Genomic DNA, 17,537 nt, shown 5'->3' on the forward strand with positions numbered 1-17,537 from the left:
ATGTCTAGGATCTCTTTAGGCAGGAGAGAGGGTGATGGTGTAGGAGGACCCATTTCTTGGCTTGCAGATTCCAATAATATGTCACAGATTTAAACCCCAAACTTTGATGAAATGCAGGTCTAGGGTTTTAAAATATAATGAGAGTTAAATACGTATTTTCTTCATCCAGAGATGGGGCAAGCTTCCTCATCTGCTCGTTCATGGGTGATTTATATTTTCCCCACTCCATCCTTTTCCTAAGGATTTTAGGGACAATGGCTTTTTGCAGAGTACTCAGTTCCAGCTCCCACCTTGAGCCCTTACCTCCTGCCCCTAAACATCCAGACCTCAAGTTAGAGAGAGTAACATTTTGCCCACACCTAGGAGGACCAATCCTTCTGGTTTCCTTAGGGATGCAGGAATTTCTCAGTGCTAAAACCAGTAAGTCCTGGGCAAACGAGTATGACTGGCTGCCCTACAACCCAGCCCCCATATCCAGGGCAGGAGAACAATCATTTGAACAATTCATTGCTCTGGTTTTCAGTTGATTTTTGGTTCTTGGAATTTCCCTTCTTTTTTTATGGGCTTATCTGCCTATTGGAAACAAAACGTTATTTTTTTTTATCCCGCATTACTAGATGTCAGTAGTGAGACACGTCTCACGTTATAGCAGTCCAGCATTTTGCCAGTTCAAAAAGTCACATTTTAATTCTTTCCGTCAGTACAGAAGTGAAGTTTGAGGATAAAGGTCATAGCCACGTAGCCCTGTGTGCATAACCAGGTGCTGGAGTGGTCCCCAAAGTTATGTGATTGGCTCCACCACCTGCCCCACAGCTTGCTCCCGCTCTAGGCCCTTGCTCTGATCTTGAGAATGTTCTGTAAGTCTCTAGGCAGGCCTAGCGTCTTTCTGTAAGTCCTAGAAGGTGAAGTCTTCCATTAAAATGTAAAATCCCTGAGCAAAGAGATATTATTTTATTCTGTTCACTCCTGCATCTGCAGTACCTGGTAATCACAGGCACTCAGTAACTATCTCTTGAAAGAAGGAACATCCTGAATGTCAAAACTGGCGTTCCCTCCCATCCAACCCCTTATATCTCAAACTTGACAGAAAGGAGTCCAAGTTTCTGGCCTGTTGATGTCTCCCTCCGTTTTCCACAGACTTGCTACTATTTATTTCTGCAGGTACTTTAAAAGATTTTGGGGTGGGTGTGACGCTAACAGTGATTGTGCTAAACCTGTGCATTCCGGAAGCCATTTTGAAACTACAGCCCAGACACATTATCATTTTTTAAAACTATACCATATATTTCAGTATGCATACTTATTTCAAGGGTGTTTTGGAGGCGGTGCCTGCCTGGAACCCAGGCACTGGCCAGCACACACGCACGGCATACCCTGCGTACTCTGCGCACCCACAGCGTGGGGGACGGCCGTCATCCCCCGCAGGCCTCCACCCTCCAGGGGGCGGGTGTGCTGCCACCCATTGGCTCAGGCCGATACCACGCGCCCCGATACCCGGCACAGGAGCCACCTCCCAGAGCCCCGCAGTCCATGCCTCAGTCGGCCTGCGCTCCTCAGCCTGGCGGTTCTACCTCCGAGGGTTCGCCCGCCCTTGGTTTTCCTTACACCTTAGCCTTTGGCTCCTTTGACCACTCGAAGCCCCACAGCGTGTTCCAGCGGACTTCACCAGCAGACCCAGAAGTGGTGGGTGAAACACTGCCTCTGTTCCTCCTTGAGCCTGTCGGGAGCTGCTGCCTGCCACCACCATGGTGAGTTGAAGGAAAGACCTGAGGGGCAAGGCCTGTGGGGTCTTCACCGGTGGGTGAAACCAGGCTCCGCCTTATCCTCGGTTTTCCTGTTTCGGGGCCACCCCGCTGAATGCATTAGGAGCCGTGGCCCGCAGGGTGGGGTGAGGCGGCCTGGCAGCAGCGCGGCCTATACAGAGAGGCAGGCACAGAAGTGGCGGGACAGCAAGCATGGCGTGGGTCCCCAGGACGCCCTGCCTCACAGTTCACTTACAAGGGCCACGGCCTCCTTGCGGAACCCATTTCCTGCCCCGGGTTCTCTCCTGGCAGCGGTTTGGGGTGCGGGTTCCCCACCCCCACGCGTCCCCACCCCCACTCCTAGGCGCCCTTTCCCCCTTCCCCCACTCCCACGCGCCCCCACCCCGCCAACTTCACTTCTGACGCTCTCCTGGTGGCTCCGCAAGATGGCGGCGGGCCTGCTGAGAGACTTGCCTCCTTGGATTGGGAGGGCCGGAACTTCTTCAGGAAGTGGTTCCCTCCTGGTCCTTGTACTACTGGGTGGGGTGGGTTGGTGGGGTTTGTGGGGGCCTGAGTGTGGCGGGTGGGGCGGCCTGAAGGCGCGGCCCACTAGCTGAGGGGGCTGGGTGGGAAGTGCCTCTGATCCTTTCGCGGCTAGCAGCTGCTGGGGGCTTGGCTGATGGCGGCTGGCTGATGGCGGCTCCCTACTGCGGCGGCGACAGGCACAAAAGCTCACTCGACGCCATCTTTGTGGCAAGAGGTTGGCTTCGGCAGTTACCATTGAGAATTTTAGAATTTTTAAACTCCAGGCACAATCTTTCCCCCGTAGATAAACCAGGAAACTTTGACTAAATGTCCAATTGGTAGATAATGTTGGGTGTGCATTTCTGTGAGTTTGGTAAATGCCCAGCGTTCATTGAGCGCCATCACAGATGTGGCTCTGAATACGCTGACCAAACACTGAGTCACAAACACGCGTGTTACATGCTGTGTGCGTATCTGCATTGATAATTTTGTCTTTTCGTTTTTGGAAATAAAAGGAGGAGTTTTATACACGGTTTATATTACCATGTATAAACATTAAAAATACATAAGCAACTATAATGTGTAATAAGTGTGCAACATGTTACCCATGCTAATGAAAAAATCACCTTGAGTTATAAGTTATAATTATTTACAATAATACTTTTCATTTTTAGAGGTAGAGGGAAGAAATGCTTATCGTTTCATTAGGTTTTTTTCCTGATTATAAAAGTAGTGTAGTATATTTACTCATTTGAAAACAATCACACTAAGAAAATAGCAGTCCATGTTAATACCAACACATAAAACCACAGTTAAGTTTTGATACATGAATGCCTTTCCAACTTATTTTTATGCATGTATTGCAATTGCATATAGATAGGCCAGCTTTTACAAAAGTTACATAGTGCTGCTTAATACTATTTTACAACTGGCAGCTTTCAATTAATGTGGGTATTATTCTGAAGATAACTTTAATTTTCAGTATATCATGTTAAAAATTGTACTGTTGTTTTACTGAATTCCCTTATGATGAATACTTTTTCAGTATTAAAACTATCATGGGCTGGGCGCGGTGGCTCACGCCTGTAATCCCAACACTTTGGGAGACTGAGGCGGGCGGATCACTTGAGGTCAGGATTTCGAGAGCAGCCCGATTAACATAGTGAAACCCCATCTCTACTAAAAATACGAAAAATTAGCCAGGCGTGGTGGCGTGCACTTGTAATCCCAGCTACTCGGGAGGCTGAGGCAGGAGAATCATTTGAACCTGGGAAGCAGGTTGCAGTGAGCTGAGATGGTGCCACTGCAGTCCAGCCTAGGCAACAAAGGGAGACTCAGTCTCAAAACAAAATTTAAAAAATGCCATGAATGTCCTTGTGTAAATATCTTGGCACACTTGTACTTAATTATTAATTCCTTGAGATTAATTGCTGTAAGTGGCATTGCTGGGTGGAAGTGCTTTTGCCCTTTCATAACAATTTTAAATTATGCTCCTCATTAGTATAGTGGTGAGTATCCCCCTGTCAAATTATGATACACCTTTTCCAAGGTGCTCTTGGTAAAGCATGTATCAGTATTTTCCCACTGATGGTGTGTAGAGTGATCTCTGTTGCACACCCTTTCTAATGAACGGTATTAGGATTTTGTACATCGTCAGCCTAATAGCTGGATAATGTTACACTATGTTGATGTGCACTTTTTTGAATCATCAGTGAAGTTGAGCATTGATCATTAGCTTTTTAAATTTCCTTTTTTAATTTTATTTTTCTTACTGACTCATAAAAACCCTGTATTAATATTCGCATTTGTCATACATAGTGGGAAAATATATATAGTAGTAATGATGAGGTGCCATGGTGCCCTTACCTTATTCCTATTTTCAGTGGAGATGGCTCTAGTATTTCACTGTAAGCTTCATGATAGGGTAGAATTAGATTGATAGAAAGCAAGAATCCTCTATTTCTATTTTACTTAGGTTTTTAAAAAATTTAAAAATGAATGCTGTATTTTATTAAATACTTTTTCAATGATGAATTAAAGTAACGTATCCTGCGAATGCAGTATTCTTGCATTGCCAATATAAACTATATTCTTTCCTACTGGAATTTTGCATTTGTGTTGAGGAGAGGGTTGGACCATCTTGATGAGGCTTTGTTGCTTATGTGTTGTTAACCTTTGTAAAATGCATTGAGAAGTACTTTTTTCCTCTTTGAAAATTGAAGAAAAGAGTTTACATTTCTTAATCTCTTCTTCTATCTTTACTTCAGGTTTCTGGCGTCTGTGTGCACCTCTCTGTGACACACCACATACACCCAAGTTACATGTTTCTTTACAAGTTGAAAAAACTCCCAGGGAAACTAAGCCAAATACCATTGGGTGTTCTTTTTCAAGATTGTTTGGGAAGAATTAAAATTTCTGTACAAGTTGACCATGTCGTTGATTTCAAAATTTATTCCTATAGAGTTTGAGCATAACATTCTTTTATAACCACGGGCCACAACCCATTTTTCAGGTCTCATATATTTTTGCTTTTTCTTGCTTAGTTTTGCAAGGATTGTGTATTGCTTGAATTTCATCCTTGCCACCCACCACTCCCCGGGACTCTGTTCTTGGATTAACTTCTGATTTTCACGTCATATTTTCTTAATTTTAGCATTCTCTTTATTTGCTCCTCTTCCTATTGCTGTGAATGTAACTTTGATGACTACAAATGATAGGCTTTTTCCTGGCCAGTTTATGTAAATAACAATTTGCTTACATGTTCACATAGTAATTGCATTAGATAATACTGGCAGAGGAGCTGACATGGCAGGAGTTTAATGATAATTTTTTCCAGCTTTTAGCTGTCTTTGTCACTTGATTGTCCGCATATAACAAGGAATATGTTTGCTAGAAATAGCAATGAGAGTTGTGATTATGACGGTCTTGAAGCTCACCCCTGTTTACTATTGCAACATTTCTCATTTGAAAATTCAACAACTCACTTGAAGATACGGTTAAGAAAATTACTTCTTGTGTTTTGTGTTTTTTTGTTTGTTTGTTTGTTTTATTTTATTTTATTTTTTTGAGACGGAGTCTCGCTCTGTCGCCCAGGCCGGACTGCGGACTGCAGTGGCGCAATCTCGGCTCACTGCAAGCTCCGCTTCCCGGGTTCACGCCATTCTCCTGCCTCAGCCTCCCGAGTAGCTGGGACTACAGGCGCCCGCCACCGCGCCCGGCTAATTTTTTGTATTTTTAGTAGAGACGGGGTTTCACCTTGTTAGCCAGGATGGTCTCGATCTCCTGACCTCATGATCCACCCGCCTCGGCCTCCCAAAGTGCTGGGATTACAGGCGTGAGCCACCGCGCCCGGCCAAGAAAATTACTTCTTTAATGCAGTTTGTTTTCAGGATGCCATTGACGGTTACGATGGTACTTTCTTTCAAACTAAACTTTTGCTTATCCGAAGCATTCATTTATATTTTTGGCCGTAGTTTAAAACTAACCAAAGTTTGTCTGTTGATTGTGGATTTTTATATATACATTATATAATTATGTATAAGTACACAGTCGGAATTGAACAATCCCTGCTACTCGAGCCATGGTAAAAGTGAAGTACGTTGCAGAAAACGAGGTACATTGCTTACCTTGTTAGCTTTGAGCGCCACCTGCTGGCTGAGGACTAGGACATGATCATTACTTCCTTCATTTAAAGTATTATGACGCTATTAGAGAGATTCAGTGAATTTTATATGTACGATTCCAGTTAAGCAGGCAGCCGGTTTGTAAGATCCAAGCTAAAGTCAAACTTCTTAATAATATCAAATGCCTTTTTTCTTCTTTACCAAACTACGGTTATTTCGAGTATCCAAATGAGTATGAGAATCAGAAGAGACACCCGAGGTCTTTTCCGGCCATTCGTTTTCAAGCAAGGAAACTGAAACCGAGGTCATGAAAAGATTCACTTTAGTGAGCGATGGAAATCAGGTTCTTCCCAAAGAAGAATTTTCCTCTTCAATTCTTGTGGCACGGTGACAAGGTTTCTTAACCAGACCCTTTTCAAATTGTGCACCAAATACTTCCTTATGGTAGGAGGCTGTCTTTACACTGTAGGATGCGCAGTAGTGTGCCTGGCCTTCGGCCCATCAGATTCCAGGAATACATCTCAGTTGTGACAGCCAATCTCTAAACGTCGCTAAATGCCCCTGGGGCTCAAAAATCTTGCCCAGTTGAGAATCAGTGCATTTCCATAACCTCTCGTAGTCTGACACAGTTTTCTGCCAGATGTTACATTTCTAAATTAAAATACATCCAAACACTATGGTGCAGAGACGATACTGTAATATAGCTTGTTTATCAAGGAAACACGTACCCAAAGTTCATCCACAAATCAAGGAGGAATTGGAAAGGAGAAAAAGAAACTACAAGAATTTCAGAATTTGTTTTGTTTTGTTTTATTCTGTTTGGGATTTCTGAATGAACTGAGAAGGAATTGGTAAATTGTCTATAGGGAAGGGAGATCTAATCAGGTTCCCAGTAGTTCAAGGTAGTGCAGCTTAATGTCATTTGGAAAAAACAATAATGTGAGACATTTTTGAAAGGAAGAACTTTAAAAACAGTGTTTTAAATTTTTCTTTCACATCATTGTCATGAAATAACGCTGTTAAAGGAAAGAATTAGGAATTAGTTACAAACCCAAAATAGCAAGTACAAGCACGAAAGAATAGAGAAATGCAGTAACCTCGGCTTTAGTTGATTTGACAATTTAGATTTGATCTCTAGTAAAGCTGTGTAGAATCAGTAACTTCTAGGCTCTAATTAACAAAGCAGGAACCCTCCTTTCTTATTAACTTCTGTAACATTACTGTGTTCTAAAAGATAACGCAGTTTCTTTTGTCTTTTGTTTTCTTTCAGACAGGTATATGTGTAATAGCTTTCTCTTTTGCAGCATTTTGTACTGATATTTGTGAAGTCAACAGCACTTCACCAATGATTTTTAAATTAATGATGTGTCATAGTTTCCTGATGTGTCAATTAGTTCTTAATTAAAATTTTTTTCAAAATAAGTCAGCTAAATAGTGAAGCCAAAAAAGAAACTTGAAAACAAATCGGCTGAAAATAAATTCAAATAACAGGACACTAACTTACATTGGCACACCACTTGTACCACTTTATACGTACAAAATGAATTCACAGATGTGATCTCATGTCATTCTCAAAGCACTTTGCCCACAGATACATAGCTGGCAAGTAGGTGGCTTATAACCACTTACCTGTAAGGGACATAAACCTAGATCTCCTGACTGAATTAATTTTTGTTTCACTATGCTATATTGTTTCTCCAACGTATATATTACTTATGAATACTACTTCAGAAAATTTTACATTAACCTTAGAGTCTGCTGTGGAAAGAATAAAGACAGTTCTGATCAGAATCTAGAAAATTAGTGAGTTATATGTATGTGTTTTTTTATCTGAAAATAAAGATGGTATCATTTATATCTATCAGCCCACTGTGAAAATCAGAATTATCAGTCAGACTGATTCCGTGTTACTCAGGAAGAAAAATGTTATTTCAAAAGATGCTTTGAACACCCTAGCGTTAGGGAAGAGGATTGTAACAAATTGGTTTAAAACGTTGAGGCTTATTTTCTTTTTGGTGGGGCTTTTTTTTTTTTTTTTTTTTTTTTAAGATTTATCTTTAGTCTACTCAGTAAAGTGAAAAGTTGTTTATGAATATAGAACAGGATGATTTTAATAACTTTAATTTTTACAAATCTAAACTCTCTAGTTTTGGGTGTCTTTTTTAACTACTTCACGTAGTACTTTCACAAATACTAAATGGGTATTCTTCCACAGCATTATACAAGACTCGGTGATGAGCGGCACTAGGTTTAAGAAAGTACTGTATCCTTCGGTTAAAATTCCATGCTGATGTACTCTGATAAGTTTAAATCCTGAGCCTGAACTGAGCTGCACTGGTGACTGAATTACAATGAAAGTAATTTATGTAAAATATACTTAAAATACAAAAATGGTATTTCACATTATGTATGGGTTTTGCCTGCATACGTAATTATGATGTCTACTTTCCAAATTACAGTCTGCTGCAAATCCTGAGACTCCAAACTCAACCATCTCCAGAGAGGCCAGCACCCAGTCTTCATCAGCTGCAGCTAGCCAAGGCTGGGTGTTACCAGAAGGCAAAATCGTGCCAAACACTGTTTTTGTTGGTGGAATTGATGCTAGGGTATTGTATTTGTACCTCATTTTTACCTTAACATACATCATGAACAATGGGATGTGGGCCCTGTTACAAACTTAAATTTTTTTTTGTACTTCCTGGAGGTTTAGAATTGCTTTTAGGTTTGACCCATAGGTACTAAAAATATCTTTGACAAAGGGCTGCTGGTCATTCGGGGATAAATGGGGGAGAAATTTCCACCTCATGGTAGTAAAATTGTAGTAAAGTTGAAATTTTTGAATGCTGAATTTTTACTCTGACGTTCAGTTCTTTTCCATAGATGGATGAAACTGAGATTGGAAGCTGCTTTGGTAGATACGGTTCAGTGAAAGAAGTGAAGATAATCACGAATCGAACTGGTGTGTCCAAAGGGTGAGTAATTTTATCAAAAATATGTGAACTCCAGTCACCTATTCTATAAGTATCAGACAAGACTTCAAAACTGATATTCTGACCCTTGTATAAATGCAATATTCTGCAGTGTTAATTTCTTTCACGTAGGGGATAAAAGGCTATTACCAGTTCTTCTATTTGACCATTTTTCTAATGTTTGTATTTAAATGTCTCCAGTTTCTATTTCATACAGATGAGTTAATCAGTTTTCTCAAATAATTGTTTTCTTCATACACTGCAGAGCATCTTAAATTTTAACCACCTTGTCTTAGACAGTAAGTTAAACTCAGGTTCACAGATATGAATTCTTTGCTAATCAATAAAGTTGTCACACTGCCCTAATCCTAGCACATTTTGACATAGTTCTGCTTAAGAAAAAGTGGTATTTGTAGAGGATCTGTCATGTACATCTTAGCAAATACTTATCATGGTATATTATTCGTCTTTTGTCATGATCACTTCTGTATATAGAATAGTAGACCTTCTGAACCACGTACTGTATGATGGTGATTTTATGCTTCATTTGTCTGCCTTTATAGCTATGGATTTGTTTCGTTTGTTAATGACGTGGATGTCCAGAAGATAGTAGGAGTAAGTAATCTAATAGAAAAATCTCTTATTTATCTTATTGCTACAACGTTTAGTGTCAGTGATACACTCGGACTTGTGTAAAATTTGGGGAAAGACACACTTCCTGTTCAAAATCCAAACTCAGAGTAACCTCACGTAGCTTGTTTGATCCTGTTTATTTTTGACTGGACACCTAGTTTCATGAACTACAGACAGGAAGGGTTGGAGACAGGGTGATGGAAAGTTTTTGATCAACTTTCACTTGATGCCTCTTGACACTGATTAGAGTAGTAAGGGTAAGTAAGGTAGCTTCGTGATGACAAATTTTAATTTGGTGCGTAGTTGTCCCCGATCTTCTATGATGATAGGTACTTTAGAAGACTTCAGGTGTTTACCCAAGTCTTGGAAGCTAACACTTGAAAATTGATTCTAGTTTTGTTAACGGTTCTATTTTCAGTCACAGATACATTTCCATGGTAAAAAGCTGAAGCTGGGCCCTGCAATCAGGAAACAAAAGTTATGTGAGTAGGAAAAGAAATGGTTCTTTTCTGACCCGTGTAGCTTTTCAAATAACTAAAAATAGGCTTTTTTCTTCTTGCTTTTTAAAAAGGTGCTCGTCATGTGCAGCCACGTCCTTTGGTAGTTAATCCTCCTCCTCCACCACAGTTTCAGAACGTCTGGCGGAATCCAAACACTGAAACCTACCTGCAGCCCCAAATCACGCCGAATCCTGTAACTCAGCACGTTCAGGTAAGAACTGCTTATGTTCCTGTTCTCTTGTTTATTCTAGTCATCCTTCCCTCTGTGGAATTGTATCTACACTTTCCATAGTAAGTGGCAATAGAATCCCTGTTTGAACAGTGTGAGTAACGGGAAATCTGTTACTTTTGTTAGAAATTTCTTATTCTTCGTGTTCGTCATTTGAGCTAAGAATCTTCTGTATACTTGGCGAAGCTTTCTCTTAGAAATGACCTCTGTAGACACATGAACAAATCTCTTCCTATCTCTGCCTCTTTCACCTCATATAACTAGTTCCTAAAGTATTTGGAAGCAGCCCTCCTTATGTGTCTGCCTAGTTTATTGTTCTCTAAGGTTAGCAGTTAACCTAGCTATTCTTTACTTGCAGTGATTTCCAGATGCCTCCTCATATAAATTGCTTGACTTCTGGGTATATTCTGGTTCTGGGATGGGTAGATTTCTGATCTCTTTTGCTCTATCTAGAAATCCCGTGAGTTTCTGGCACGTAATTTCTCTGATGCTGGTTGCTTTGATATTTAAAGTAGGATTTGACATACTCTTGTCACTTACTGGTGATAAATAACGTTTAGTTTGTTCTTCGTTCATTTTATTTATGTGTTAGTTTTTAAAAAGAGGTTTTCTTCGATGGAAAATAAAGTAACCAAATAGTAGTGAATTAGTTCTTCAGTGTCTCTCATTTGTTGACATTTTCCATGTACTTGAAACGTGTGGGGTACACCTCTTCTTCTTTTTCCTTCTCTGAGCAATGGCTAGAAGAAAAGCCCTACTTGTTTGTAGCATTTACTGTGAGCCATTACTGAATGTGGGTGTATTGATGAATGATGCTACCTGTATGTTTTTAATCAGTAAGTATTTATTGAAAAGTAGAAGACATTATACTGTCTCTTTTCCAGCTGTGGCTTATTTACTGCCCTTAATTTGTGGAAAAGAAGTACAGAGAAAGCCGTAACATCTGCCGAAGAACTACAGTATTACCCTATAATATCATCAGATAGCAAACAGTCTAGAAGTATTTTGCCAAAGAAAGAGCAAATGTATTATTTTAACTTACGTTGAAATCTATCTTAATAGAGCCTTATCAGCAGCGTAAGAAATAACTTCTGGGTGGGCATAAGTACACAGTATAAATATGGTAGACTTTGGCCGGTGCAACAGTCACTTGTTTTGTCATTTGTCTCTTCCCCCTCCCCGCCCAAAGGGTAGCACTTGACAGAGAATATTTGTTTCTTCATGTCAGTCATTCATTTAGAAATCTGTATTTCTGTATGTAGAAAAATAATTACCATTTCAAGGTTTTTCGTATTTTTGTTATTTTGGGAATGGTATTTCTTTCTAGTTAAAAAAAAAAACACATTTTACCGTATTAATCCATTCCTTCTGTAAACTTTATTCTCGGCTTATTCTCCTTATCCAAACTCACCAGGTCAGGTCATCACTGGGTATCAGTTGCCTGTGTATAATTATCAGGTGATTGAAGAGGGAGTAAAATGATTTACTTTCAGCTACTACTGAGGCCTTCAACTTGTTTATACAAATTGCCTGAATAGTTTGTCCTTTTAAACTAGTGAACTGTACCTAAAATTTAAGAAAACACTTAGAATTAGTGTAATGAAGACCTCTGTAGTATGTAGAAGTGATGAAATAATATTTTGACAGGAGGGTACTTAGCAGTAACTTTTCTGCAGAACAGTTTCTGAGATTTGGTGTTCCTGTCTTGGTTTCAGCATGAATTTTGTTATCTTTGCTGTCAAAGAGCTGAAACATGGCAGACTGTCTTTCGTGAATTTTGTAGAGATACAGAGTGAAATAAAAGCTTTACCCAATTCTTAGAGCGCAGAATTCCAATTGTGTTTTTATTTTAGCTTGCTGCTTCATGATAAAGACTTCTCTGGGTCTCTTTTCAACGATACGAGTATATCTATGACCGATAATCGTATCTGTGGTAACAAATTCAAAGAATTAGTATCTTTGAGAGTTCCACAATGCCATTTGCAGAAAATTGGGAAAAAGGTGAGGTTTTCTATGTAGAAGGAGCAACAAGAACTTCAGGGATTAGAAACCTAAAGTACTTCTTTTTTTCTATTCTGTTTCTTTCGTTATATTAACCAAGGAGCCAGCATGAGAAGTACTTCAGTATTGTGTATCTCATGTGTTTTTGAAAAAGTACAGGAATATTTGAATAATATTGGTTTCCTTTTTTTTTTTTTTTTTCAAGTTGCCACCGCAGTGGCCTGTTGGGGAGCAAAGGAGTTATGCTGTACTTCAGATAAAGTGAATGCGCCGAACCTATACTCCCTGTTCTTTCTTTTTTTTCTGTGTCATATATGCCTATAAATTTTTTAAATCGTTCTTTGTATTAATGTGGCACATTTTGTTACTTTCTTTTTAACCCAATTTTAAACTCCTATGGGAGCAACAGTGCCTTTTTCTCTGTCAGGTTTTTGCGTGCTTAAGGAATGGCTCGTACACATGATGATAAGAAAGAATTCAGTAACTTTTTGATAGACTATACACTCCATGAAAGGTAGTATTAATAGTGGCTTTAGAATGAGCATGTATCTGCCTGGAATCTGCCTCTGGCTTTACCCTCCGTAAAAAAAAAAAAAAAAAAAAAAAAAAAAAAAAAGTGTTCAAGAGAAACAGAAATGTTTTGCTATTAATTACTCTTAAATAAGAGTAGGAAGAAAAAAGAGTATTACCTCTAAAACACCCGAACTGCTTTCCCCCCACATAACTAGTTCCGAAAATATTTGAAAGCAGCTGTCTTCGTGTGTCTGCCTAGTTTATTCTTCCCGAAGGTTAGCAATTCATCCAGCTGTTCTTTACTTGCAATGATTTCCAGATGTCTCCTCATATAGATTGCTGACTTCTGGATATATTCTGGTTCTGGAATGGGTAGATTTCTGATGTGTTTTCCTATATTTATAAATCCCGTGAGTTTCGGGCATGTGATTTCTCTGATGCTGGTTACCTTGATATTTAAAGTAGGATTTGACATACTCTGTCACTTACTGGGGATAAGTAATGTTTATTTTCTTTTTAGTTTGTTTTATTGATGTCTTAGTTTAAAAGACATTTTCTTTGATGGAAAATAAAGTAACAAAATAGTGGTGAAATAGTTCTTCAGTGTCTCTCGTTTGTTGACGTTTTCCATGTGCTTGAAACAGGTAGGGTATACCTCTGCTTCTTTTTTGTCCTCTGAACGATGGCTAGCAAAAAAGCCCTGTTTCTCACATTTACGGTGAGCCATTACGTAATCTGGGTGTATTCATGTGTGATGCTACGTATAGTTTTCAATCAGTAAGTATTTATTGAAACGTAGAAGACACCATACTGTCTCTTTTCCAGCTGTGGATCATATACTGCCCTTAGTTTTTTGAAATGAAGTACAGAAAAAGCCGTAACATTTGTAGGAGAACGTCGTATTACCCTATAATATTGTCAAATAGAAAACCCTTTAGAAGTATTTTAACAAAGAAATAGCAAATGGATTAATTTAACTTACAATTGAAGTCTGTCTTAATAGAGCCTTATCACCAGCGTAAGAAATAACTTCTGGGCGGGCGTAAGTACACAGTATAAATAAGGTAAACTTGTCTGGTGAAATAGTCCCTTCTTTTGTCATTTGTCTGTTCCCCTTCCCCAGCCAAAGGGCCTCACTTGACAGAATATTTCTTCTTCATAAAATCAGTCACTCATTTAGAATTCTGCAGTGCTGTATATAGAAAAGTAATGTTTTAAAACTTTTTCATAGTTTTTTATATTGGGAATAATATTTCTAATTAACAAAATGTTTTACCGTATTCATTCATTCTTACTGTAAACTTTATTTATAGGCACACACTACTCACCCAAATTCAGCAGTTCACGGCATCACTAGATATCATTTGCCTGTATATAATTATCAGGTAATTTAAGAGGGAGTAAAATGATTTACTTTCAGATATTATTGAGCCCTTTGTTTATACAAATTGCTTGAATAGTTTGCCATTTTAAAGAAGTGAAATGTACCTAAAATTTAAGACAACACTTCAAATTAGTCTAGAATGAAGGCCTCTGTATTATTTAGAAGTAATTGAGTAATATTTTGACAGGAATGTACTTAGCAAAAACTTTACTGTAGAATAGGTTTTTGAGATTTGGTGTCCCCTTCTATATTGTAGCATGTTTTTTTTTTTTTTTTTTTTTTTTAAATCTTTGCCGTCAAATAGCCGAAACATCCAGACTGACTTTTATCAGTTTTTTAGAGAGACAGAGTGAAATAAAATTATTACCCACTTTTTAGAGCACAGAATTTGAATTATATTTTTATTTTAGCTGGCTGCTTCACAATAGTAGTCCTCTGTGTCTCTTTTCATAGATATGACTGTATATATGACCCATGATCATATCTATGGTAATACATTCAAAGAACTAATATCCTTGAGATTTCCACAATACCAACCCCAGAAAATTGGGAAAAAGTTGAGGTTTTACATATAAAAGTAACAACAAGAACGTCAGGGATTAGAAACTTGAAGTAATTCTTTTTTCCATTCTGTTTCTTTTATTGTAATAACAAATTAAAGGAACCAGCGTATGTACTTCAATGTTGTGTTATCTCATGTGTTTTTGAAAATGTGAAGGAATATTTGAATGATTTTTGTTTCCTGTCTCTACTAAAAATACAAAAAATTTAGCCAGGCGTGGTGGCGCACACTTGTAATCCCAGCTACTCGGGAGGCTGAGGCAGCAGCATCACGTGATCCTGGGGCGCAGATTGCTGTGAGCTGAGATTGTGCCACTGCACTCCAGCCTAGGCGGCAAAGAGAGACTCAGTCTCAAAAAGAACAATGCTGTGAATATCTTTGTGTAAATATCTTGGCACGCTTGTACTATTAATTTCTTGAGATGAATTGCTATAAGTGGAATTGCTAGGTGAAAGCACTTTGCCCCTTGTATAACAATTTTATAATGAATTCTCCTTTTTAGTATAGTGGTGAGTATCCCCGCTTATCAAATTATGATACAGCTTTTCCAAAGTACTCTTGGTAAATCACGTATTAGTATTTTCTCACTGATGGTGTGTAGAGTGCTGTCTTTTCCACACCCATTCCAGTGAAAGTTATTAGTATTTTTTAAATTGTCAGCGTAATAGCTGGAAAATATTACATTATGTTGATGTGCACTTTTAAAAATCATCATTGAAGTTGATCATTGATCTTTAGCTTTTAAAATTACCTTTTTAATTTTATTTTTCTTACTGATTCATAAGAATACTTTGTATTAGTATTCACTTTTGTCATACACAGTGGAAAACATATGCAGGAGTAATAAGGAGGTGCCCTGGTGCCCTTACCTCATTCCTACTTTCAATTGAGTTGACTCAACTATTTCACTTGTAAGCTTGATGATAGGGTAGAATGAGATTGATAGAAAATAAGATTCCTCTACCTCTATTTTACTTGGGTTTTTAAAAAATTTAAATTATGAGTGCTGTATTTTATCAAATGATTTTCAGTGATGAACTAAAGTAATGTATCCTGCGAATGGAGTATTCTTGCATTCCCAATGTAAACTTAGACTCTTTATATACTGCTGGAATTTTGCATTTGTGTTGAGGGCAGGGATGGATCATCTGGATGAGGCTTTGTTACCTATATGCTTTTAGCTTTGTAAAACGCGTTGAGAAATACTTTCTTCCTCATTGAAAATAGAGTTTCTGCTTAGCATTCTTCTATTATCTGTGGCCGCAACCCATTTTTCAGGTCTCATGTATACTTTTGCTTTCTTGTGTTTTCTTGCTTTGTTTTGCCAGGATTGTTTATTGCTTGAATTTCATCCTCCCCACGCACCACTCCCCGAGAATCTGCTCTTTGATTTGCTTAAGGTTTTGATTCTGATTTTCCTGTCATATTTTCTTAATTTTATCACTCTCTTTATTTGCTCCTCTTCTATTGCTGTGAATGTAACTTTGCTGACTACAAATGATAGGCTTTTTCCTGGTCAGTTTATATAAGTATCAGTTTGCTTACAGGTTGACATAGTAATTGAATTAGATAATACTGGCAAAGGAGCTGACATGCCAGGAGTTTAAATAACGATAATTTTTTTGCAGCTTTTAGCTGTCGTTGTCACTTGGTTGTCCACATGTAACAAGGAATGTATTTGCCCTATGTAGCAGTGAGAGTTGCGTGTATGATGGTGTTGAAGCTCACCCCTGTTTACTATTGCAACATTTCTCATTTGAAAATTCAACAACTCACTTGAAGATACGGTTAAGAAAATTACTTCTTTAATGCAGTTTGTTTTCAGGATGCCATTGACGGTTACGATGGTACTTTCTTTCAAACTAAACTTTTGCTTATCCGAAGCATTCATTTATATTTTTGGCCGTAGTTTAAAACTAACCAAAGATTGTCTGTTGATTGTGGATTTTTATATATACATTATATAATTATGTATAAGTACACAGTCGGAATTGAACAATCCCTGCTACTCGAGCCATGGTAAAAGTGAAGTACGTTGCAGAAAACGAGGTACATTGCTTACCTTGTTAGCTTTGAGCGCCACCTGCTGGCTGAGGACTAGGACATGATCATTACTTCCTTCATTTAAAGTATTCTGACGCTGTTAGAGAGATTCAGTGAATTTTATATGTACGATTCCAGTTAAGCAGGCAGCCGGTTTGTAAGATCCAAGCTAAAGTCAAACTTCTTAATAATATCAAATGCCTTTTTTCTTCTTTACCAAACTACGGTTATTTCGAGTATCCAAATGAGTATGAGAATCAGAAGAGACACCCGAGGTCTTTTCCGGCCATTCGTTTTCAAGCAAGGAAACTGAAACCGAGGTCATGAAAAGATTCACTTTAGTGAGCGATGGAAATCAGGTTCTTCCCAAAGAAGAATTTTCCTCTTCAATTCTTGTGGCACGGTGACAAGGTTTCTTAACCAGACCCTTTTCAAATTGTGCACCAAATACTTCCTTATGGTAGGAGGCTGTCTTTACACTGTAGGATGCGCAGTAGTGTGCCTGGCCTTCGGCCCATCAGATTCCAGGAATACATCTCAGTTGTGACAGCCAATCTCTAAACGTCGCTAAATGCCCCTGGGGCTCAAAAATCTTGCCCAGTTGAGAATCAGTGCATTTCCGTAACCTCTCGTAGTCTGACACAGTTTTCTGCCAGATGTTACATTTCTAAATTAAAATACATCCAAACACTATGGTGCAGAGACGATACTGTAATATAGCTTGTTTATCAAGGAAACACATACCCAAAGTTCATCCACAAATCAAGGAGGAATTGGAAAGGAGAAAAAGAAACTACAAGAATTTCAGAATTT

General features: G+C 38.7%; 1 protein-coding gene across 3 annotated transcripts in view; it reads left to right on the plus strand.

The window, feature by feature from the left end:
- The first annotated feature begins 1,438 nt into the window (after positions 1-1,438).
- DAZ4 (deleted in azoospermia 4) overlaps positions 1,439-17,537 on the plus strand; it is a 73,221-nt gene continuing 57,122 nt past the window's right edge. For 2 of the 3 annotated variants that reach the window (NM_001005375.3, NM_020420.4), the window contains exons 1-6: positions 1,439-1,748; positions 8,350-8,496; positions 8,771-8,862; positions 9,423-9,474; positions 9,911-9,974; positions 10,064-10,203. In NM_001005375.3, coding sequence (NP_001005375.1) covers positions 1,746-1,748; positions 8,350-8,496; positions 8,771-8,862; positions 9,423-9,474; positions 9,911-9,974; positions 10,064-10,203 — 498 coding nt within the window. In that variant the 5' untranslated portion in view covers positions 1,439-1,745. The remainder of the gene's footprint in view (positions 1,749-8,349; positions 8,497-8,770; positions 8,863-9,422; positions 9,475-9,910; positions 9,975-10,063; positions 10,204-17,537) is intronic. The other variant, NM_001388484.1, reaches the window with a different exon arrangement.

Source organism: Homo sapiens, chromosome Y, assembly GCF_000001405.40.
Source record: "Homo sapiens chromosome Y, GRCh38.p14 Primary Assembly".
NCBI lineage: Eukaryota > Metazoa > Chordata > Mammalia > Primates > Hominidae > Homo > Homo sapiens.